The 23867-nt window shown below is 49.2% G+C and overlaps 1 protein-coding gene and 1 long non-coding RNA gene across 10 annotated transcripts in view, besides 9 other annotated features; both read left to right on the forward strand.

Moving 5' to 3' along the window:
• Positions 9628-10560: an enhancer, noted in NCBI's record as "H3K27ac hESC enhancer chr16:81770025-81770957 (GRCh37/hg19 assembly coordinates)". NCBI's record gives its function as "activates a minimal SCP1, AML or CMV promoter by ChIP-STARR-seq in primed H9 embryonic stem cells {active_cell/tissue: H9 hESC(primed)}" and the evidence as "EXISTENCE:reporter gene assay evidence [ECO:0000049][PMID:30033119]".
• Positions 11465-11524: an enhancer, noted in NCBI's record as "active region_11200". NCBI's record gives its function as "activates an Ori minimal core promoter by ATAC-STARR-seq in GM12878 lymphoblastoid cells {active_cell/tissue: GM12878}" and the evidence as "EXISTENCE:reporter gene assay evidence [ECO:0000049][PMID:35858748]".
• Positions 11751-12533: an enhancer, noted in NCBI's record as "H3K27ac-H3K4me1 hESC enhancer chr16:81772148-81772930 (GRCh37/hg19 assembly coordinates)". NCBI's record gives its function as "activates a minimal SCP1, AML or CMV promoter by ChIP-STARR-seq in naive and primed H9 embryonic stem cells {active_cell/tissue: H9 hESC(naive and primed)}" and the evidence as "EXISTENCE:reporter gene assay evidence [ECO:0000049][PMID:30033119]".
• Positions 12095-12144: an enhancer, noted in NCBI's record as "active region_11201". NCBI's record gives its function as "activates an Ori minimal core promoter by ATAC-STARR-seq in GM12878 lymphoblastoid cells {active_cell/tissue: GM12878}" and the evidence as "EXISTENCE:reporter gene assay evidence [ECO:0000049][PMID:35858748]".
• PLCG2 (phospholipase C gamma 2) overlaps positions 12249-23867 on the forward strand; it is a 223645-nt gene continuing 212026 nt past the window's right edge. For 2 of the 3 annotated variants that reach the window (NM_001425749.1, NM_001425750.1), the window contains exon 1: positions 12249-12593. The gene's annotated coding sequence lies outside the window, so the exon portion shown is untranslated. Of the gene's footprint in view, positions 12645-23867 lie in introns of all 3 variants that reach the window. The other variant, NM_001425751.1, reaches the window with a different exon arrangement.
• LOC105369213 (uncharacterized) overlaps positions 12249-23867 on the forward strand; it is a 38313-nt gene continuing 26694 nt past the window's right edge. For 3 of the 7 annotated variants that reach the window (NR_189583.1, NR_189582.1, NR_189580.1), the window contains exon 1: positions 12249-12593. This is a non-coding gene — a long non-coding RNA (uncharacterized LOC105369213). Of the gene's footprint in view, positions 12943-13467; positions 13588-13673; positions 13796-23867 lie in introns of those variants that run through there. The other 4 variants (NR_189578.1, NR_189577.1, NR_189584.1 and 1 more) reach the window with 4 other exon arrangements.
• Positions 18760-19379: an enhancer, noted in NCBI's record as "H3K27ac-H3K4me1 hESC enhancer chr16:81779157-81779776 (GRCh37/hg19 assembly coordinates)". NCBI's record gives its function as "activates a minimal SCP1, AML or CMV promoter by ChIP-STARR-seq in primed H9 embryonic stem cells {active_cell/tissue: H9 hESC(primed)}" and the evidence as "EXISTENCE:reporter gene assay evidence [ECO:0000049][PMID:30033119]".
• Positions 18760-19718: a biological region, named in NCBI's record as "H3K27ac-H3K4me1 hESC enhancer GRCh37_chr16:81779157-81779776".
• Positions 19269-19718: an enhancer, noted in NCBI's record as "active region_11202". NCBI's record gives its function as "activates an Ori minimal core promoter by ATAC-STARR-seq in GM12878 lymphoblastoid cells {active_cell/tissue: GM12878}" and the evidence as "EXISTENCE:reporter gene assay evidence [ECO:0000049][PMID:35858748]".
• Positions 20342-20534: a silencer, noted in NCBI's record as "fragment chr16:81780739-81780931 (GRCh37/hg19 assembly coordinates)". NCBI's record gives its function as "represses an EF-1alpha promoter that drives an FKBP-Casp9 reporter gene in an ReSE screen in K562 erythroleukemia cells {active_cell/tissue: K562}" and the evidence as "EXISTENCE:reporter gene assay evidence [ECO:0000049][PMID:32094911]".
• Positions 22040-22109: an enhancer, noted in NCBI's record as "active region_11203". NCBI's record gives its function as "activates an Ori minimal core promoter by ATAC-STARR-seq in GM12878 lymphoblastoid cells {active_cell/tissue: GM12878}" and the evidence as "EXISTENCE:reporter gene assay evidence [ECO:0000049][PMID:35858748]".

The following is a 23867-nucleotide window of genomic DNA, read 5'->3' on the forward strand; positions in this document are numbered from 1 at the left end:
ATGGACTTGCAGAGGTAAGATTCCCAGGTCTACCCCAAAGTCTCAATTGAGAGCCAGCATCTGTCTCTTGCAATTGATTTTTTAAAATAAGAGTATATTCATTTACAAAGGACTTGTAGATCATAACCGTGCACCCGTGGAATAAATGAATGAATGAATGAAAAATGCCAGTGTGAAGAACAGAAAGCAGCTCTTCTCATGGAATGAGGGGCGGTGGATCGGGCATCTGACCTACATCTAAACTCAGGGGTTGGGCAACGAGACTGGAATTTTGATCTTGGGCTGCAGACCATCAGAGATGTGCCTGGGGCAGGCAGTTGTAGACTCAGTCAGAGCTGCATCCTTATTAGACGTGGATCCCAAAGTGCATCCAGAGCCCCCGTTTCCACTGCCCATCATCCCATCAGGAGAGGGCCCTGCCTTTGCTTCTCACAGCCTTTCATTCATCCAGTCACCCATTCATTTATTCACTGAGCACAATGTATCAAGTAGAACCTTTAAAAAGTTGTGCTAAGTGGAAGAGGCCAGTCACAAAAGTCCACATAATGTGTGATTCCATTTATACGAACATCCAGAGTGTCTATAGAAACAGAAAGTAGGTTAGTGCTTGCTTAGGGCTGAGGGGGATGGGGGATAGGAGGGTGACTGCCCACAGGTACAGGGTATCATTTTTGGGTAATGAAAAGGTTCTAAAATCGACCATGATGATGTCTGCACAGTTCTGAATACACTAAATACCATTGCAGTGCACACTTTCTAAGGGTGAATTGAACGGTGTGTCAATTAAACCTCAATAAGGCCATCTAAAAATATGTGTTGAGCACTTACTGTGTGTTGGGCACACTGGGGACTCAGGAGTGAATGGAACTAATGCCATCCTCACCCTCAGGCCACATACAGTGTGGGGATGGAGGCAGCTGCTAAACAAATGATCATACAAATCATTTTCCTTTTTGTTTTGCATTCTATTTTGTTTTTAATGGACACTGTAAACCAAAAATAAAATTGTAAGGCCCTGCAACCTTCTGAATGGACCCCTCCTCTAGGCCAAGGACATTCTAGAATGAACCTGAAAATCTAGTTCAGGCCGTCATGGAAGAGGGGGTTGGACATTTCTTATTATACCCTCCAGCTTTAACACAGACCTTAAGTCTGATAAGAAACATTTACAATCTATTCTCTCTGAAGCCTGTTACGTGAAGGCACCATCTGCATGATAACACCTTGGTCTCTACAACCCATATGGCAACTCAGACCTTTTCTTTTCTTTTCTTTTCTTTTCTTTTCTTTCTTTCTTTCTTTCTTTCTTTCCTTCCTTCTTTCCTTCCTTCCTCCATCCCTCCCTCCCTCCCTTTCTTTCTGTCTTTCTGTCTTTCTCCTTCCTTCCTTTTTTTTTTTTTTTGAGACAGAGTCTCTCTCTGTCGCCCAGGCTGGAGTGCAGTGGCGCCATCTCGGCTCACTGCAAGCTCCGCCTCCTGGGTTCACGCCATTCTCCTGCCTCAGCCTGCCGAGTAGCTGGGACTACAGGTGCCTGCCACCATGCCTGGCTAATTTTTTTGTATTTTTAGTAGAGACGGGGTTTCACTGTGTTAGCCAAGATGGTCTTGATCTCCTGACCTCATGATCAGCCTGCCTCGGCCTCCCAAAGTGCTGGGATTACAAGCGTGAGCCACCACGCCCGGCTGTCTTTCTTTCTTTCTTCCTTCCTTCCTTTCCGTGAGCCAGCATGCCCTTCCTCCCTCCTCCCTCCCTCCCTTCCTTCCTTCCTTCCTCTCTCTCTCCTTCCTTCCTTCCTCCCTGCCTTTCTTTCCTTCCTTCCCTTCCTTCCTTCTTTTCTTCCTTTCTTTCCTTCCTTCCTTTCTTCCCTCCCTCTCTTTCCTTCTTTCCTTCCTTCCTTCCTTTCTTTCTCTTTCTTTCTTCACAGGGTCTCACTGTGTTGCCCAGGCTGGACTGCAGTGGCATGATCTTGTCTTACTGTAACCTCCACCTCCCAGGTTCAACCCACCTCAACCTGCCAAGTAGCTGCAGTTACAGGCATGTGACCCCACACCTGGCTAATTTTTGTATTTTTAGTAGAGATGGGGTTTTACCATGTTGTGCAGGCTGGTCTCGAACTCCTGACCCCAAGTGATCCACTCACCTCAGCCTCCCAAACTGCTGAGATTACAGGCGTGAGCCACGGCACCCGGCCACGACTCAGACATTTCTTACTACCGATAATAACTTTTCAACCAATTGGCAATCAGAAAAATTTACATCCATCTACAACCTGGAAGGCCCTGCACACTTTGAGTTGTCCCACGCTTCCAGATGGAACCAATGTCAGTCTTACACATATTGACGTATTACGCCTCCCTAAAATGTATAAAAACAAGCTGTACCTTGACCTCCTTCGACACATTCAGGATCTCCTGAGGCTGTGTCACCGGCACGTCCTTAAACTTGGCAAAATAAACTCTCTAAATTGATTGAGCCCTGTCTCAGATACTTTGGGGTTCACAATACTTGGCAATGGTACATATTTATGGTTTCCATACATGTATACATTGTGTAATGATCAAATCAGGGTAACCAGCAAATCCATCACCCCAAACCTTGATCATTTCTTTGTGGTGAGAACATTCAGACGTCTCTTGTCGCTGTTTGGAAACACACACCACGTTATTGTTAACTGTCCTCACCCTGGGGACAGCAAGGAGGGCCGAAAGGAAGTGCAGGCTGCTGTGAGCGCCTTCAAGAGGGGGCAGCACTGAGCTCACCTGCGAGCCTAGGCCTGGAGAGCAGCTGGAGTCTCCAGCCCGAGGGGAGGCGGAGGAGGAAACTGCCTTGCAGGCAGAGGGAAGAGCATGTGCGGAGGCCCCGAGGCAGAGCCTGGCAATTCGTCGGCGGAACAGATGCTGGAAGTGGGGAGGAGGAGGAGGAGGAACAGGAGGAGGTACGGGGGTCTGGGCCGCTGTAGAGAGCCGAGGCCTCTGAAGTCTCAGCACTAGGGCAGTGGGAAGCTGTTACAGGGTAGACGCCCGGGATGTGGGAGGGGCTATATGATAATCTGGGAGGTTTTTTGTTTTTTTTTTTTTTTTTTTTTGAGATGGAGTTTTGCTCTTGTTGCCCAAGCTGGAGTGCAATGGCGTGATCTCGGCTCACCGCAACCTCCGCCTCCCGGGTTCTAGTGATTCTTCTGCCTCAGCCTCCCGTGTAGCTGGGATTACAGGCATGCGCCACCATGCCCAGCTAATTTTTGTACTTTTAGTAGAGACGGGGGTTTCACCTTGTTGGTCAGGCTGGTCTCGAACTCCCGACCATAGATGATGCGCCCGCCTTGGCCTCCCAAAGTGCTGGGATTGCAGGCGTGAGCCACTGCGCCCGGCCTGGGAGTTGTTCTGTATTGTGGAGTAAAGGGAGGCAGAGGTGAAGCCATCGAGAGAGCAGCGAGCTCATCGCTCCCCACATTCTATTAAAATGCACATTCTCCCGGGAGGGGGTTTCCAGTTAATGAAACAGGAAGCGAGGTCTGTTGAGCTTGCAACCAGCTGAGAGCAATTTGAGGACAAAAGGGAAGGGCGGGAAGAAGCGGGATCTCGGGAAGGTGGCAGGCAGGTGAGAGCCTGGCTGGCCCGTTCACGCCTGTCTGCCCCTGGTGGCCAGGACGGGAAGGTCAGAGGACAGGGTCGGAGGCGCCAACGCTCCTGGGGTCCCAGCTGCTGCAGATCCGGGCTGGGGCTGGGCCTGGCCGCTGCTGGGGGCGGGAGGCAATTCCCAGCCCCGGGCCGGTGACGTCAACGTTGTCATGGAGACCCGGCTTCCCTGCCCAGCGTTGCAGCTGCGGGAGCCCGGGCTGGGAGGCTCTGTGAGGCTGAGGGAAGCAGAGGGCACAGACCTGGGTCCTGCAGGCGGTGGCTCCACCTAAGAGCACAACCCTGCCAGAGGCAGGATGCCCAGAATGGGCGGGGCTCCCTGCTGCACCCAGCCCGCCCCGACCCTTGCCGCCCAGACGTGGCTTCGGCCTTGCGCTGGCTCCTGGGGTAGCGGATGGGGAACCCCCTGAGATGGGGGCCCAGGCTTCCCCACCTTGGGGTCCAGGGACTGCCCTCTCAGGGGCGGACTCAGTCCCCAATCTGGAAGTTGTCTTGGCATAAGAGTGTTCTGGCATGCTCCTGTCGTCGTCCCCTTAACAGGAGTGTTTCCGGACCAAACTGAGGGTGGGGCTGCTTATTCTCGCGGCCCAATAACGAGATGCAGATGAACGGGGAAAGGAAGGAGTTGATTTCTGTAACCGGGTGCAGGGAGAAGGCCTGGAAATTATCCCCAGACCAACTCAAAATTACAAAGTTTTCCAGAGATTATGTACCTTCTAAGCTATATGTCTACGTCTGAGTGTGTATTCATCTAAAGACATAAGTGATTAACTTCTTTCTTTCTTTCTTTTTTTTTTTTGGAGACGGAGTTTCACTCTGTCACCCAGGCTGGAGTGCAGTGCACTGCAGTTCACTGCAACCTGTGCCTCCTGTGTTCAAGCAATTCTCCTGCCTCAGCCTCCTGAGTAGCTGGGATTACAGGCATGCACCACCCCGCCCAGGCTAATTTTTCTATTTTTAGTAGAGACAGGGTTTCACCATGTTGGTCAGGCTGGTCTCGACCTTCTGATCTTGTGATCCAACCACCTGGGCCTCCCAAAGTGCTGGGATTACAGGCTTGAGCCACCATGCCTAGCCGTGATTAACTTCTATAACTAAGGTCTGAGTCCTGAAGCTCTTCCTCTGGAGCCTCAGTAAATTTATTTAATCTAAATGGGTCCAGGTGCTGCGGTGATTACCCTTATCTTGTCTCCTGCTAAATCATGGGGGTTTGGGGAGTTCCTTCAGACCCCCAATAAACTTGCCTGTGGAGGCCTGGGGAGTTATTTCAGACCCCCAGTAAAACTTGTTTAATCCTAAACAGGTCCTGTTAAGAATTCCTTCGTTATCCTGTCATGCTTCAAGGCCCAGGAAAGGCCCAGGCAAAACTCTTGGTGGGCTTTTGTGACATTCCAGCCTTTGTAGAAGGGCACTGGCTCTCTCAGCTATTAATGTTTCACTGAACTACTCGGTCAGTGCCGAAGCCGTTGTGATGAAGCCTGCGTTAGTGAGACCCGGCCTGCACAGGAGCACATGAAGAGGGAACCAGAAGCCTCTTACTGACCTCCTTCCACTCCCCCCGTTCTGTTTCCAATGCCTATTCACTAAGGAACATTGACCGAGCCCCTCCTTGTGCCAAGCAGTGTCCTGAATGCTTTATGAGGTCACGGAATCCTCCCTGTGGCCCCAGGACCTACAAGGGACATTTTGGAAGCCGCTGGTTTATTTATTGTTGAGCACATATGTGTTCACACATGTGTTCCCTGGAGCACATGTGTGAAATGGTGTTCTTCTTGGCGCTATGGACTGCTCTGTCAAATCTTTCCAGTTTGTTTTTTTAATAGATGTATTTTTTGTTTTTGGAGACAGGGTCTCACTCTGTCACCCAGGCTGAGGTGCACTGGCACCATCATAGCTCACCGCACCCTCCACCTCCTGGGCTCAAGTGATCCTCCCACATCAGCCTCCTGAGTAGCTGGGACTACAGGCCAGTGCTACCATGCCTATTTTTAAATTTTTTATAGAGACGGGGTCTCACCACGTTGCCCAGGCTGGTTTCAAACTCCTGGCCTTCAGTGATCCTCCTGCCTTGGCTTCTTAAAGCACTGGGATTACAGGTGTGAGCCGCCATGCCTGGGCTTTTCCAGTTTCTTAAAATACCTTTAGTAGCACAAAGTCAGTCTAAGCTAGTTAAGACTTTGGCCTCAAAACTCAGTTCACGTTTCCTTCAGCCCCTCCCTTTTCTGAGCACCTGCCTCATTTTGCTGGGGTTGCCCTTGTCCTCCGTAGGCCATTGCTGCTTCTCTGGCTGACAACAGGGATGTTCAAATGGTGGTCCAGGTGTGAGCTTTGGGAGAGACCCCATGAGGCAGGGGTGGAGGTGATGGTCCCCAGGCCATATTCCCCCCAGCCCCTTCCCCCTGTGGGCCACCTCCCGCTGCCCCCTGCTGGGTCTCTTCTTCCTTTCTGGGTGGCATAACAGGAAGCTATCTCAGGCTTACTGCCTCCTGGTGTCCACTTGACTCCCAGAAAGTCACACTGCCCTGACCTGTAGACTGGAGGACATTGCTGTGGTCACCTCTCCCCACCCAGGCACCTCTTGCTAGCTGCCTTTCTCTAGTCCAGGCAGGCAGCATGAAGATCAAGCATCACCTGCCTTGGGCTGGGGGTGGCTGGAGGACAGGAGTGAACCCGGAACCTGGGAAGGAGATTTCCCTCTTTTTCTCTCCCTGCTCATGGACCTCAAGTCTTCTGTTGGAGGTGGGATGACATATGGAGAGAGTGGAACATTTTGCACCACTTTTTAATAAGCCCTGAAGTCGTCTTTTAGTTTTCTACCTTTAGAACATGGGGAACTCATGCCTAGATGGTGATTTCTAGACTGCTAGAGAAGGCTCACTCAGTCTCCTCTTATTTTGACCATCCATCTACCCAATGATCCATCCACCCACCCTCTATCCATCTATTCTCCATCCATCCAGCCATCTACTTATTCATCCATCTGTCCATCCTCTCTCCATCCACCCTTCCACCTACCCATCCACCCACTCACCCATCCATCCATCCATCCATCCATCCATCCGTCCATCCACCCACCCATTCATTTATCTATCTACCCATCCATCTATCCATCCATTCACCATCATCCACCCACCCATCCATCTATCCATCCACCCACCTATCCATCTATTCATCTATCCAGCCACCCATCCATCTATCCATTCACTCATTCATTCATCTATCCATACATACATTCACCATCCATCCATTCATCCATTCACCCTCCATTCATCGACGTTGACTGTACACCTACTATGTGCCAGTCACTCTGGTAGATGCTGAGGATCTAGCAATGAACAAGCAAGACCAAAATTCCCATGCTTATAAAGCTTATGTTCTGGGAGGAGTCAGGCAATAACAAAATCAACAATGAAAAGATATAGTGGGCCAGGCGTGGTGGCTGGTGCCTGTAATCCCAGCACTTTGGGAGGCTGAGGCGGTAGATCACTTGAGGTCAGGAGTTGGAGACCTACCTGGCCAACATGGTGAAACCCCATCTCTACTAAAAATACAAAAATTAGCCAGGTTTGGTGGGACCTAGCTACTCGGGAGGCTGAGGCACAAGAATCGCTTGAACCCGGGAGGCAGAGTTTGCAGGGAGCTGAGATGGTGCCATTGCACTCCAGTCTGGGTGACAGAGCGAGACTCCATCTCAAAAAAAAAAAAAAAGAGAGAGATGGAAAAGATGTAGTACCTTAAAAGGATAAATACGGTAGAGAAAAATTAATCCAAACAGGGGACTGGTGAGAGTTGAGGAGGGGTATCCAGGTGGGGCTCACTGAGAAGGTGACATTTGAGCAAAAACCTGAGGGAAGGGAGAAGGGAGCTGAGTGGGTATTTGGGGAAAGAGTATTCTAGGCAGAGGGAACAGCCAGTGCAGAAGCCCAGAGGTGGGAGTGGGCACAGAGTGTGAGGAGCAGGAGGAGGGGATGCAGCCAGGGCAGAGTGGGCACAGGGGAGGAGAGGGGAGGGCCGGGTCAGCGGCTGCTTGCGGGCCTCTGGGTGTCATTGGTTTCACTGTCCATCCGCTCGGTCCACAGTAGCTCCACATGCACTGCAGCACTTGCTGCTCACCGGGCCCCTTGCTGAGGGTTCCCCTGTGCACGTGTCATCTCATCTCCAAAATAGTCTCATCATTCTCATTTTATAGATGAGAAAACTGAGGCCTGAGCCTGTAAGGTGAACCATGAGGGATGAGAAGGGAATAGGCTGGAAGTGGGTATTTGGGGTGGGTCGGGCAGAGCCCAGGCCTACATGACATTCTCTGGGAAGAGGCAGCCAGGCCTTTGCCAAAAACCTCCCTATGGCTGCCCCAGTTGGCCCAGGTTCTTGAACCTAGAAGAACCCAAATCTTCTTGTCACAAACTCTCTTGGGGAGGCAAGAAGCTTCTCTGTTCCCAGCCTTCCAGGATGACCAGCCCCAGCGGGCGTGTGTGTGGTGGGGTGGGGGAGAGGGAGGGACAGAGCCAGGTTTTTCCTACCAGGCAGGCCCATGCAGCTTGCGCGTGGGTGGGTGAGAGAAGGGTGGGTGGTTCTTAGCAGAAGGAGATGATGCCAAATGGGCCCAGGAGGTGGCCAATAGCATCCAGAGGCCAGAGCTGCTCTGGCAGAACCAGGCACTGGCTCCATCTCACAGTGGTCCAGGGGCCACATTTGAGCCTCCCTTGGCCTGTCTTGGCAAGAAATAGAGAGCAGACATTTACAAAATGTTTGGTTATTCATTTGACAAATATTTACATGCGTCTACTGTGTGCTAGGCCCTGGGTTCTGTACTGAGTAGATGATGAGTGAGTGGGTGGATGGGTGGGTAAATGAATGAGTGGATGACTGGGTGGATGGGTAGCTGGATCAATGGATAGATAGATGGATGATGGATGAATAGATTGGTGGGTGAGTGGATGGGTGAATAAATGGGTGGGTGTATAGATGGATGTGTGGATTGTTGAGTGACTCATGGATGGATATATATTAGTTGTTTATTGCTATTTAACAAATCATTTTAAAATTTGTGGCTTAAAGCAGAAAATATTTATTATCTCACTATGTCTCTGGCTCAGGAATTTGGGATTGCCTAGCTGGGTTGTTCTGGCTCAGGGCCTCTCACACGGCTGCTGCAGGATGGTGGCTTGGTCTGCAGTTTCATATGACAGCTCGCCTGGGGCTGGAGGATCCACTTAATGATGGATCCCTTGCACAGCTATTAACAGGAGGCCTTGGTTTCTCATTACACTGGCCTCTCTGTAGGCTATGTGAGTGCCCTCATGATGGCAGCTGGCTGTATTCAAGGTCAGTGATTCTAGAGAGAAAGAGAAAGACCAAGATGGAAGCCAAAGTGCCTCTGATGACCTTGTCTCCGGGTCTTACACCATTACTTCTGGTTTTTCCTTTTTTTTTTTTTTACCTGTTAGAAGCAAGTCACAAAGTTCCACCCAAACTCAAGGGGAAAGGAAGTAATTTCCACCTCTTTGTGTTTTTTTTTTAAGACAGGGTCTCACTCTGTTGCTCAGGCTGAAGTGCGGTGGCGCAGTCATAGCTCACTGCAGCCTTGACCTCCTGGGCTTAAGCGATCCTGCTGCCTCAGCCTCCCAAGAAGCTGGGACTACAGGAACATACCACCATGTCCAACTAATTTTTGGTATTTTTAGTAGAGAGAGAGAGAGAGGTCTCAAACTCTTGAGCTCAAGGGATCCTCCTGCCTCGACCTCCCAAAGTGTTGGATTACAGCCGTGAGCCAATATGCCCGATTAGTTTCTACCTCTTGAAGGAGGAGTATGAAAGAATGTGTGGGCACAGTTTAATACCATCACAAGAGATAAATGGCTAGAGCAGCAATAATTCTTCCAGGGTGCTGAAATCTTAGAATGATTTTAAACCAGGGATTCTCAACAGTAACTTCATGTTAAATTCCTCTGGGACACTAAGAAAATATCAGTTTTGGGGAATCAACCTTGACATTCTTATTAGTCTGGGGAGTGACTTGGACATTGGCATCTGTGCTTTTGTTTTGTGGAATGATTTTAAGCTTTAATTGTGAAACCCAGCATATATGTTCTGCTTTTTAAAATTATAATAAAAATATAACATAAAAGTTACCATTTTAACTATTTATTTATTTATTTATTTTCAAGACAGGGTCTCACTCTGTCACCCAGGTTGGAGTGCAGTGGCGCAATTTCAGCTCACTGCAACCTTCGCCTCCCAGGCTTAAGCAATCCTCCTACTTCACCCTCCCGAGTAGCTGGGACCACAGGTGCCCGCCACCACACCTGGCTAATTTTTTTGTATTTTTGGTAGAGATGAGGTTTCTCCATGTTGCGCAGGCTGGTCTGGAACTCCTGAGCTCAGGTGATCCATCCACCTCAGTCTCCCAAAGTGCTGGGATCATAGGTGTGAGCCACTGTGCCTGGCCCATTTTAACAATTTTTGAGTGTCCCATTCAGTGGCACTCTGTACATTCACACTGCCATGCAACCATCCCCCTCAGTACACTTTCATCTTCCCAAAGGGAAACTCTGGGCCCATTAAACACAAGTTCCCCATTTCCGCCTCCTCCTGCAGCCCCTGGCAGCCACCGTCCTGCTTTCTGCCTCTATGAATCCGACTACTCTAGGAGTCTCCTGTTTGCAGAAACTACAGTATTTGTCCTTCTGTGTCTGGTTTACTTCACTTAGCACAATATCTCTGAGGTTTATCCATATTGTACCGTGTGTCAATTTTTTTTGTTTTGTTTTTTGTTTGTTTGTTTCTTTGAGATGGAGTCTTGCTCTGTTGCCCACGGGAGTGCAGTGGCGCAATCTCGGCTCACTACAACCTCCGCCTCCCAGGTTCAAGTGATTCTCCTGCCTCAGCCTCCTGAGTAGCTGGAATTACAGGTGTGCACCACGACGCCCAGCTAATTTTTGTATTTTTACTAGAGACGGGGTTTCACCATGTTGGCCAGGTTGGTCTCCAACTCCTGACTTCAGGTGATCCGCCTGCGTTGGCCTCCCAAAGTGCTGGGATTACAGGCATGAGCCACCGCGCCTGGCCATGTGTCAGAGTTTTATTTCTTTTACAGTTGACTAATATTCTGTTGTCTGTCTAGACCACATTTCTTTATCCATGCACCTGTGGATAGACTTTAAAAATCCACAGCGGTGGGTTTTTAAAGTGTCCTGGTGGTGCTGCTGTGCAATCAGTGATGAAAACCAAAGCCTGGATGGCACGGTGGCTCATGCCTGTAATCCCAGCACTTTGGGAGGCCAAAGCGGGTGGATCACTTTGAGGTCAGGAGTTGGAGACCAGCTTGGCCAACATGGCGAAACCCCGTCTCTACTAAAAATACAAAAAATTAGCCAGGTGTAGTGGTGGGCACCTGTAATCCCAGCTACTCAGGAGGCTGAGGCACAAGAATTGCTTGAACCCAGGAGGCAGAGGTTGCGGTGAGCCGAGATCGCGTCACTGCACTCCAGTCTGGGCGACAGAGTGAGACTCTGTTACATAAAAAAGAAAAGAAAGAAAAAACCAAGGCATAAGTCCAGCATTTCGCAAATCCTCTCTGCACAATAGAATCACCTGAGAGCTGTTTTAAACAATGCGGATGGCTGGCGCCTGTCCTAGAGCAGCTGCATCAGATTCTGGGCTGGGGGAGAGGTGGGGCTAGCCAGGAATTGAGTTCCTTGCAGCGCGGGGGAGGGCAAGGTGTGCAGAATTATTTCCCAGTCTCTGCTGCCTCCTGGTGGCACAATTGACAACAGTCGGGTAGTGACGCCTGTCAGCATGGTTCCTCTTCCTCTCCAGGGCTGGCTTACCCAGCCCCAAAGGACCCCACTCCCGGGGGTCTGGGGACCCTGAAGGCTCTTGTCTGACCCCTCTCCCCACCTGTATTTCCTGGCTGGCCTTGCGTGCCTCTGTGTTTAGAAGAACCGACGAGTTTATTAGAGAAGGAAAGACTGCACTGTGTGACCTTGAATAAGACAGTTCGCCCGTGCCTCAGTTTCCCTGACTTTCACGCAAGGATCACCACGGTTTCCTCTGTCAAGTTCCTGAGATGGCAGGCAAGCATGCGTGTTAGGGCTGGGGAGGCCACCGCGGGGAGGTTTCGTACCCTCAGCATAATTGCCATTAGGGGCCAGATCACTTGGTGGGGACCGTCCGTGCACTGTAGGGTGCTGAACAGCTTCCCTGGCCTTGACCTCCTAGATGCCAGTAGCATCCCTGAGCTGGGATAATCAAAAACTGTCTCCAGATAGGGGCAATGTCCCCTGAGTGCAGGATTGCCAAATAAAATAGTTAAATTTGAATTTAACTTTGAAAATTTGAATTTCAGATAAGCACATAATGTTTTTGTATAATTATGTCCAAAGACTGCATTTTTATTTCCTAAATCTGGAAACCCTTCCTGAGGGACAAAATCACTCCAGCTGGCACTAGCCAGTGCCCTTGTGAGTTTTTGACACCTGTTTCAAGAACTCACACCAGGCTGGGGGCTAAGGCGGCAGATGGGGAAGTTGTGGCAGGGGCGGAACTTGCCCCAGCCTGGCAGGGGGAGGGGTGCCGTCTTGCGGGAGTGGGACAGGCAGGCCCAGGAGTGATAAGCGTGAACTAGAGAGTGCTGTGCAGGAGGAAGCTGGGGCCGCCGTCGGGCCTTCTCCCTCCAGGGGCCCAAGAGCCACTGGTACTCAGTGTCTGGGTGGGGGCAGGGGGGATTTTTGTTCTCCCAGCACCTGCGGCTGTTGAGACCAGAGAAGCTGGTGGTCGACCACAGCCTGGGGTATTAGTTCACCCCTAGCTTCTCCCCAGCGAGACCCCAGGGCCCTTGGGCACAGGGGATTAAGCCTCTATCTGCTTACGTGCAAGCGGAAGAAATAGGCCCAGAGAGCAACAGTGGCGGGTCTGCAGTCACACAGCCAACTTGCGCTTGTGGCAGTGGCAAGGTTGGTGAGTATCTGAGTCTTCAGGCCACGGCATTTTCCGCTCGAGTGGAGCCTGGTAAGTGGCCTCTATTTCTGGTACATTCTCTGGGAGCCCCCAGTATTTTCCAGACAGAGGGCACTGAAGACAGGCTTTGTGCTGAGGATGGGTCACCTGAGGTCCAGCTGCTCCCCCGTACTCCTCCAGGGAAGGGCTGGGACCCCTTCTCCTGCGGCTGCCCCTAAAAGGACAGATTGTTGCTTTTGTGGGATGAGGAGAGACAATGTGGCATGGTGGTTAAGCACGTGGACTTGGAGCCAGACGGCCTGGGGCTGAATCCTGGCTCCGCCTCTCACCAACTGTGACCTTGGGCAAGGTACTTAAACACCCTGTGCCTCCATTCTTAATCCATGAAATGGGCATGATGAAATGACACCTACTCCGTAGGGTTGTTAGAAGAATGAAATGAATTAGTAAGTGCTCAGAACAGTGTGTGGGGCCGGGCACAGTGGCACATGCCTGTAATCCCAGCGCTTTGGGAGGCCAAGGCAGGTGGATCACTTGAGGTCAGGAATTTGAAACCAGCCTGGCCAAGATAGTGAAACCCTGTCTCTACTAAAAGTACAAAAATTAGCTGTGTGTGGTGGCCCATGCCTGCAATCACAGTTACTCGGGAGGCTGAGGCAGGAGAATCACTTGAGCCTGGGAGGTGGGGGTTGCAGTGAGCTGAGACAGCGCCAGTGCATACCAGCCTGGGTAACAAAGCAAGACTCTGTCTCCAAAAAAAAAAAAAAAAAAAAGAAAGAAAAGAAACAAAAAGAAAAGAAGAAAACCAGTGTGTGGCAGGTACGCAGGTAGTAAGGTTTACTTTTCTTCTAGTGACATTTACTGTCTTCCTTAGGAAGCTGGTTCAGTGGGGCTGTCGACCACAGGTACCAACCCTGCCCTCCCCTACAGAGTATGTGACGTAGGCACAGCCAATGACTGCATCCCAGTGCTTCGACCAGTCACAGGGTCAAGGGTGAGCACGTGACCCCAGCAAATGAGCACATCCCTGGGGCTGGCGTGCAGAGGCTCTGGGAGTAAAGCTTCCTTTTCCCTGGCCAGGTGCAGTGGCTCACACCTGTAATCCCAGCACTTTGGAGTCCCAAGCAGGCAGATCGCCTGAAGTCGGGAGTTTGAGACCAGCCTGGGTGAAACCCCATCTCTAATAAAAGTACAAAAAATTAGCCGGGTGTGGTGGTATGTGCCTGCAATCCCAGCTACCCAGGAGGCTGAGGCAGGAGAACTTGGGAGGCATAGGTTGCACTGAGTTGAGATAGTGCCAGTGCACTCCAGCTTAGGCAACAGAGCCAGACTCCATCTCAAAAAAAAAAAAAAAAAAAAAAAAAAAAAAAAAAAACCGAAACCAAACCAAAACACAACCAAAGCTTCCTCTTCCCACTGTGGGTGCAGAGGCCTGGGGCTGTGGTCAGCATCCCTAGCACATGGGGCTTAAAAAGAATGAAACCAACCCATTGAGGGTTCTCTTGAGTCCCTGGATTCACCTTGCCTGCCAGGCAGAATCCTCCCTGGAATTCCCACAGATGTGAGACAGTGAATCTCCCAGTTTGCTTAAGCAAGTTTGAATAGAGTTCTAATCCATGCACCCTCTGTGCCCCATAGAGCAAGAGGGGTTCCCCCAAGGCAGTCCCCTTCCTCCATAGACCAGCGCTCTTGGCCTTTGTTTTGATCCACCTGCTGCCCCGACATCCAGGCCCAGCCTCACACCGAGACACTGGCCCACTCTCAGGGAGGTGGGTCCTCCAGGTCTGATGTGATTAGAGCTCGCTTATAAGAGGAAACAAACAAACTTGTATTAAATACCTGCTGTGTGCCAGGTATTGTGCTGGGGCTTTGAGGTTATTTTAGTTGTATTTTACAGATGAGGAAACTATAGCTCAGAGAGGTAAAGTGACTTGTTCAAGCTCACACAGCCAGGAAGTAGAATCGCTTCTATTTGAACCCAGTCTGGTTCCAAAGCATCCACTATATCATATGGCTTATTACTTGCAGGAGGAAGATTTTTTTTCCGTCAAAAATTTTTGCCCTTTGGATTTTCCCCAATTTGTACATATTTATGGGTTACAGAGTGACATTTTGATACACATATAAAATATGTAATGATCAGGCCAGACGTGGTGGCTCACACCTTTGATCCCAGCCCTTTGGGAGGCCAAGGCGGGCAGATCAGTTGAGGCCAGGAGTTCAAGACCAGCCTGGCCAACATGGTGAAACCCTGTCTCTACGAAAAATACAAAAATGAACTTGGTGTGGTGGTGCAAGCCTGTAGTCCCCAGCTCCTTGGGAGGCTGAGGCAAGAGAATCGCTTGAACCCGGGAGGCAGAGGTTGCAGTGAGCTGAGATTGTGCCACTGAACTCTAGCCTGGGCGAAGAGAGACTGTCTCAAAAAAAAAATGTATAATGATCAAATCAGAGTCATTATCATATCCATCACTTCAAACGTTTGTCATTTCTTTGTGTTGTGAACATTGAAAATCTCTTCTAGCTTTTTGAAAATATACAATAAGCCATAGTTAACCATATTCACCCTACAGTGATGCAGAACGCCAGAGCGCGTTCCTCCTACCTAGCTGAAATTTGTGTGCATTCACCAACTTCTCCCTATCCTCCCCTCCCTCCTCCCCTTCCCAGCCTCCAGTATTCAAAATTCTACTCGCTTCCTCCATGTGCTCAACATTTAAACACAGATTTTAATTGTGGTACAAAGCACACAAAAGTTACCATTGTGGGGGCGGGGGGGGGGGCGGTGTTGGCTAAAATTGAAAAGGTAGCAGAGTACCTCTCAGTCAAAAGATGACCTAGAGAGTCCATTACTCCGAGTACATAGTACCCCTGGAAAATAGGGGTTAGGTCTCATTCATGCATTCAACCTGCTAGGTGCCAGGCAGTGCTCAAGGAAGGGCCTGACTGGGATGAGACCAATGAGGGCTCCAGGTGCAGAGTTGAGGATGGTGCTGCTTCACAGGTGATGACCCTGCCTGTGTATGACTCTAAGAGTGACTGCCATCTTCCATCCTACTCCTGGGGCCCAGCCTATCTCCCTGGAGCCCCAGCCCCCATGCAGGGTGAAGGAGGGTTTAGATGACTTGGCAGAGTCTTAGTCCAGCCAGGAAAGGAACGTCCCATGCACTACCCCTGAGAAATGACTCCATCAACAGTGGTTTCAGGAGCGCTTAGTATGTGCTGGGAACTGGGGTGGACAGGAGTGACCACAGGCATCCCACTGCTTTCAGGGAGCTGGTGGGGAGAACTCAAGACAGATGATAGCACATATAATCATTTGTTACCCCACGGTGGGTGCTATGAAGGAAAGAGCCAGGTGCTACGAGACGGGAGTGAACAGGGGCCGGGAGCCTCACTTCCCATCTGGCCAGACTTCCTCAGGTTCTGGGACCCAGCTTCACAGGGCCCCTCGTCCTCCCAGCTTTGAAGTTCTTATCATTGGTCCCGCTCCTCTTGTTCTTCCAGACGTGTGAAGAGGGCCTGCTCTGTGTCATTATCAACTTGCAATAACTTAGTGTCCCATTTCATCTTTTTGGTTCTCGATACCTGCTTCACAGTTCACCTATTATGTTTTATCGACAGAAGAACCAGTCTAGCTGGGTTCGGTGGCTCATGCCTGTAGTCCCAGCACTTTGGGATGCTGAAGTGGGGGGATCACTTTAGCCCAGGAGTTTGAGACCAGCCTGGGCAACATAGTGAGTCTCTGTCTCTACTAAAAAAAGAAAAGACAGAAAAGGAAAGGAAAGAAGGAAGGAAGGAAAGGAAAGGAAGAAAAAGATAGCTGGGCATGGTGGTGCACACCTGTAGTCACAGCTACTAGCGAGGCTAAGGTGGGAGGTTCACACGAGCATGGGAGGTTGAGGCTGCAGTGAGCCACAGTAGCACCACGGCCTTCCAGTCTGGATGACAGAGACAGACCCTATCTCAAAAACAAAAACAAAACAAAAGAACCGGTGTGCTCTGTCTCTTGACTGGACCGACTGGCACAGACTTGCTGGAACACTGGTCACCCAGGCAAAGAGCCCAGGTAGAGCGACCTGCGTGGTCAAAAGCCAGGAGGCTGGAAGGAGTGAGGGACATTTCCGGAGCCAGAGGCCACAGTGGCCAGAGGGGAGTGAAAGGGGTGAGGTTGGGCTCAGGAATGGGCACCTCATGCACCCTGAGCTGATGAGAACCAGACTTAGGGCTTTTATTGGAACTGGTGGGTTAGGAGATCCTCTCTCTTGTGGATGTGAAGCCAGGAGAAAGGAAAGCTGCAGCTATGCAGGGCTCCTGTGGGAGACAGCCTGCCTGGAGGTGAGGCCCATCCCAAGGGAGGGAGAGTGGCGAGATGAAGAAAGACTAAGTCCCAATGACATTGTTGGAGCCCCTTGATCCAGCTGTGACTGTGGCCCTTGGTTTTCAGTTACATGAGGGGATAACCTCCTTTTTTTTCTTTTTCTTTTTTTTTTTAAGACAGAGTCTTGCACTGTTATCCAGGCTGGAGTGCAGTGGTACGATCTTGGCTCACTGCAACCTCCACCTCCTGGGTTCAAGCAATTCTCCTGCCTCGGCCTCCCAAGTAGCTGAGATTACAGGCATCCGCCACTGCACCCAGCTAATTTTTTGTATTTTTAGTAAAGACAGGGTTTCACTGTGTTGGCCAGGATGGTCTCAAACTCCTGACCTCGTAATCCACCCGCCTCGGCCTCCCAAAGTGCTGGGATTACAGGTGTGAGCCACCGTGCCCAGCCAACTTCCCTTTTTTTTTTTTTTTTTGTTTGAGATGGAGTCTCACTCTGTCACCAGGCTGGTGTGCAGTGGAGTGATTTTGGCTCACTGTCAGCTCCGGCTCCTGGGTTCACGCCATTCTGCCTCAGCCTCCCAAGTAGCTGGGATTACAGGTGCCCGCCACCAAGCCTGGCTAATTTTTGTATTTTTAGTAGAGACGGGGTTTCACCATATTAGCCAGGATGGTCTCAATCTCCTGACCTCTTGATCTGCCCGCCTTGCCCTCCCAAAGTGTTGGGATTACAGGCGTGAGCCACCGCACCCAGTCCCCCAACTTCCCTTTTTGATTAAAACAGATTGAGGTGACTTTTCTTCTCACTTGTAACCAAAAAAATTCCAAATCTTTTGGCACTCCATAAATAGCAGTCATGATGGTGAAGCTGGTGGGGATGATAAGGAGGCAAGTTTGTTTTTTTTAAGATAGTCGTGCTCTGTCACCCAGACCATGGCTCTCTGCAGCCTTGACCTCCTGGGCTCAAGTGATCTCCTACCTCAGCCTCTTGAGTAGCTGGGTCTACAGGCATGGGTCACCATACCCAGCTAATTTTTTTTTTACAGGCAAAGTCTCACTATGTTGCCCAGGCTGATCTTGAACTCCTGGACTCAAACAATTCTTCCGCCTCAGCCTCCCAAAGTGCTGGGATTACAGACATGAGCTACTGCTCCCAGCCCAGGAATTGGAATTTTTTAGGGCATCTGGAGAGGTGAAAAAGGGGGCCAACAGGCTGGATGCTGCAGGAAGGAAGGGGAAAGGAAGAAGGGTTGGTTTTTCTGGATTCAAAGTGTCTCATCTTAACTCCAACCCTGGACTTTAAAAATAATGTTATGCAGTGGAACCTTTTTCCTGTTGATTCCATAAACATTCAGCAAAGAATATAAGATGATTAAGTGCTGGTTGTAAATGACCTCCAGCAACGGGGCTGGGTTTTGCATCCAGGTCACTGCAGGGCTGAACTAGAAAAGGTTGTGTTGGGTAACCCAGCCCAAGATTCAATCTTAATCGGTCTAAGCCAGTGGTGGCATTCCTAGCCTCCCTCCCACTGATTGGCCGGGAAGGGCATATGACCTAGTGCTGACCCATGAGAGGTAAGGAGAGTTGCCGGAAGCCTTCTTGGATGACCTGTGGCCACAGGAACCTCTCTTTTCTGTAAGTTGCAATATCCCTTAGGGTAGTCACTGAAAATCTTCATGTTTGACCATCCTCTGCCTTTCCCAAGTTGAATTTTGCTCAGTTTCATCCAAACAACGACTATAACTCAGGGTTGCATTCAACATATTTAACAACCGAGATAACATGGACCCTGACTAACTAATAGCCACTGGCCACAGACTGCAGGCCATATGGTAATTACCAGCTGGATGTCAACCCCAAGTCTGCTCCCTATTATGGGCTGCATGTAGTTGGCTCCTGGGGATACAGAGATAAATTATGTGGATTTACTGTTCTCAAGGTGGGCAGTCTGGTAGCTTCTGTAAGAAAAAGTAGGTTAGGTCTAGAATGCCAATGTTTCGCATTTTCCCTGTAAATCTCAGGTTCTGACCTTGGCTGACATTAGGGTCAGGGGGGAGCTTGGCCCAGGCTGATTCAGCAGATCTGGAGGGGCATGGGCATGTATGTTTAAACAAAGTCCCAGTTGGGAACCTCTGCTTTCAGCTATCCATTCAGAGGCCGAGTTCAGCGGCCAGACGTTATTCCTGAGCCTCCTGGCTGTCATACAGCGAACGACCTGACTCTCTGTAGGGGCGAGACTAGCCCATTCAGAGGTGCGTCCTTCCTTTTTCTTTAGAAGGGAGCAAGTGTGTAAAGGAGGAAGAACAAGGGTGCACTTCTGGGGACAACATAATGTCACAGAACCAGGGAAGGAATTTCATGGCCCCTAGAAAACTCAATAGGCAAGAGGATGCCATAGTCGAATGGAACCTCTATTAACCCCAAAGTCAGACAGGACCAGCCCATGGGTGCTCAGGGCACTGTGGCACAAACAAGGCCGGCCTGCTGGATAAAGGGAGGTAGAAACGCTTTCAGCCCTCCCCGGTGCTTCCCGGTTTATAACTTCATCTACTCGTGACACGTGGGGGTCCGCCGCCGCCACTGGCAGGGTGCCTTGAGTGCTTGAGTTTTCGCCCCCAGCACAGGTGGAGAACCCAACTCCCAGAAAACATCTGGGGCGGAAACGGAAGCATGGCCGCAGCGGTGAACGCACTGCATTCTGGGAAATGTAGTCGAAACGGCCGCTGGGGCAGAGTGAGCACCCACAGTGGTGCCTTCTGGGGAGGGTCGTTTTCACGTAGTCCAAGAGCCAGGGGTGGGAACCGCGGGGCTCTCACCCCAGCGCCGGGAGGGGATGAACAACTTTTGGATTTTGAATTTAAGTGTAGGATTTCGTTTTGTCAATCTCCAACCCTAACACCCAAGGAGGCAGAGAATAAGAGCAATATACACTTCTGTGATGCCATTCATGTCTGCATTGATTATTTCTCCGTCGAACTTGAGTAAACAGGCAGTTTAACCTCCCAAGCATCTGTAAAGTGGGCATATTAATAATTCCCACTTCTCAGGCTTGATAACGTCAATCAGGTAACTGGTACAGTGCCTGACACACCTTCATTGCCCTCTTCTCTTGGAACCAGTGGAGCCTACAAAGCAAACAGATGTGCTTTGTAACCAGGAGTATGAATTCTGCTCCAGGAGAGCACGGGGGACTTTGTCATATTTTGGGAGTTGTAATTTCATTAAATTCCAGCCAAAATTCATAGGCAAAAACTTAAGGAAATCTTGTCACATAAAGGGATTCAGCAAAGGTACACCAACCACCTTGCTAGCCAGGACACAGTGAGATGAAAGTTAAAAGCATATGACAAGCTTCTGGGTCAAGCATTCTCAAACAGTACTAGCGATAGTATTAATGGGTTTATCCTCTATAAAGAGTAATTTGGCAATAGCTTTCAAAATTACAAAGGCATATATGTGCAGCTTCAGTGATTCCCCCTCTAGGAATTTCTCCTGCAGACATACTCCAAGATTTTCAAAATGACAAAAGTTTAAGAATATTAATGGGACTGGGCGCGGTGGCTCACACCTGTAAGCCCAGCACTTTGGGAGGCTGAGGCGGGCAGATCACTTGAGGTTAGGTGTTTGAGACCAGCCTGGCCAACATGTTGAAACCCCATCTTTACTAAAAATACAGAAACTAGCCTGGCGTGATGGTGGGTGCCTGTAGTCCCAGCTACACGGGACACTGAGGCACAAGAATTCCTTGAACCCGGGAGGTGGAGGTTGCAGTGAGGTGAGATTGTGCCCCTGCACTCCAGCCTGGGCGACAGAGGAAGACTCTGTCTGAAATAATAATAATATTATTAATGGTAGTATTGTTTTTTAAATAAATGATTGGAAGTCATCTACACATCTGTGGATAGAGGATGAGTTACATCAATTGTGATGTATCCATATACTGGAATACCATGCAGCCATTTAAAATAATAAGGTGCAACATCATCTATATAATATTCTTGCAAAAAAATGTTTAACCTAAATCTATTATGAGGAAAGAAACAGAAATTCAAGTTAAGAGAGATTTGCAAAATGCCTGGACACTCAAAAATGTCAGTGTCATAAAAGACAATATGGACTGGCGGACTGTTTTAGATTACAGTAGACTAGAGACATGACTGTTAAATGAATGACTTTTTTTCTTTCCATTTTTTTTTGAGATGGAATCACCCAGGCTGGAGTGCAGTAGCGTGATCTTGGGTCACTGCAACCTCTGCGTCCCAGGTTCAAGTGATTCTCCTGCCTCGGCCTCCCAAGTAGCTGGGATTACAGGCACCTGCAAGCACACTCAGCTAATTTTTGTATTTTTAGTAGAAACAGGGTGGCCCCATATTGGCCAGGCTGGTCTTGAACTCCTGACCTCAGATGATCCGCCCACCTCGACCTCCCAAAGTGCTGGGATTGCAAGCCTGCGCCACCGCACCCGGCCAAGGCCCTTAGTTTGAGATAGCCTGGCCAACATGGTGAAACTCCATCTCTACTAAAAATACAAAATTTAGCTGGGCTTGGTGGCACATGCGTATAATCCCAGCTACTCAGGAGGCTGAGGCATGAGAATTGCTTGAACCTGGAAGGTGGAAGTTGCAGTAAGTCGAGATGGTGCCACTGTACTCTAGCCTGGGTGACAGAGTGAGACTTTGTCTCAAACTTAAAAAATTAAAAAAAAAAAAATGAAAAAAGAAAGGTGCAGAGCAGAGTATGCAGAATGCTGCATTTTTGTGGAAATGCTCAAAGACTGAGTCTGAAAGGAGACACAAGAAAGAGGTGACTAAGGATGTCTCGGAGAGGAGAACTGGTTTGGGGGAGGGGACATTAGGGGTAAACAGGGGACTTCTTGCACTTACCCCTTGAGACCTTTTGAATGGCATGCCATGTGCCTGTATAAACTATTCAAATTGCAAAAAAATAACTTCAAAGAAGACTGTTTCTGGGAAAGCACTTGTGGTCAGAAAACCCCAGACTCGGATCTCCTATTCCCCATTTGTAGACTTGATGGTAAACCCAAACAGAAGGAAGGAAAGCCAGTGACTTTCATATCTGTTTCCACATCTTATCCTCATTACAACCCTGTGAACCAGTTAGGTTTTATCGGGCACATTTGACAGATTAGGAAAATTGAGGCTCAGAGAGGCTCGGTGAGATGCTGGCAGAGCTGGGATTGAAACAGTCTTGACTATGACTGTACCTGGCTCCTTCCCTCCTGCAGGGGACCTCTCCAGGCACTGAGGCCTGTGGCGGGGGGTGGCAGGAGAGAGCTCAGGGTGGAAGATGTGGGTGAGGTTTACTTCCAGGCTGTGGTGCTCACTAAAGCTCCTTTCCACTGCGACTTTCACAAGGGGGCCCCTCAGTCAGGAAACAGCAGTCTAGGATGCCGGGCAGCCAAACCAGGGTTTGATTTACATGTTCTCACACTACTGGTTGGGTGGTTTATTTGGGAAGGTAGGAGCTAACTCAGCCAAAGATCCTGTTCTCTGAACCCATCTGGGTTGCTTTTTAACATCTCTATAATCCCTGAAGATGTAGATTTTAAAAAATCACTTGATTGATTTTTGTCAAATTATATGCCTTAAACAAACTAAACTTTTTCATTAAATAAATTATATTTTATTTTTTATTTTTTTGCGATGGAGTCTCATTCACTCTGTCATCCAGGCCGGAGTGCAGTGGTGTGATCTTGGCTCCTGGCAACCTCTGCCTCCTGGGTTCAAGCAATTCTCCTGCCTCAGCCTCCTGAGTAGCTGGGATTACAGGCGCCTGCCACCAAGCCCAGCTAATTATGTGTATTTTTAGTAGAGACGAGGTTTTACCATGTTGGCCAGGCTTGTCTCAAACTCCTGACCTCAAGTGATCCATCCGCCTTGGCCTCCCAAACTGCTGGAATGACAGGCGTGAGCCACTGTGCCTGGCCTTCATTAAATAAATTTAAAGAAATAGATGAGTGTTACCAATTCAAGCAATGAAGTATTTGGAGGGCAATTTGGTGTTTCTGTCAAAATTGTTTTGGTATGTGTCCAGCATTTACACAGCAAATGATTTATCTTTCCCTGTGGATATACTCACCCCACTGTTCAAGGATACATGTCCAAAGATGCATTGCTTATGAAGCAAAGACACAAACCTAGAAAGAGCTGAGATGTCCCTCAATGGACAGCTGCTTCACTTAAGTGTAATCCATCTACGCGGCGGAATGCAAGGTACCATGGTTGAGAAAAAGAAAGCTGGCTGGATTTGCTGACCTAGAAAGAGATCTGCAATATACCGTTAAGTAAAAACAACAGTAGAATAATATGATCCCATTGTGAAAAAAAAAAAGTTAAAAACACATAGAGGTATCTATGTTTTAGCAAACATAGAAAACAATGTATAAGATCCAGCAATTTGGCTGGGTGTGGTGGCTCATGCCTGTAATCCCAGCACTTTGGGAGAACAAGGCGGACAGATCACCTCAGGCCAGGAGTTCAAGACCAGCTTGGCCAACATGGTGAAATTCCATCTCTGCTAAAAATACAACAACAACAACAAAAATTAGCTGGACATGGTGGCGGGCATCCGTAATCCTAGCTACTCAGGAGGTTGAGACAGAAGAATCCCTTGAACCTGGGAGGGGAAGATTGCAGTGAGCTGAGATCTCACCACTGCACTCCAGCCTGGGTGGTGATAGAGTGAGACTCTGTCTCAAAAAAAAAAAAAAAAAAAATCCAGCACAGCAATCCCACTTCTGGATATTTACCCAAAAGATTTGAAATCAGTTTGTTGAAAGATGTCTGCACTGTCAGGTTCATTGCAGCATCATTCATAATAGCTGAGTTATGGAATCAACCTAAATGTCCATCAACAGATTAATGCATAAAGAAAACGTGCCACATATTTACAATGGACTACTATTCAGCATTTAAAAAGCAGAATGGGGACTG

This window comes from Homo sapiens, chromosome 16 (assembly GCF_000001405.40).
Source record: "Homo sapiens chromosome 16, GRCh38.p14 Primary Assembly".
NCBI classification, from domain to species: domain Eukaryota; kingdom Metazoa; phylum Chordata; class Mammalia; order Primates; family Hominidae; genus Homo; species Homo sapiens.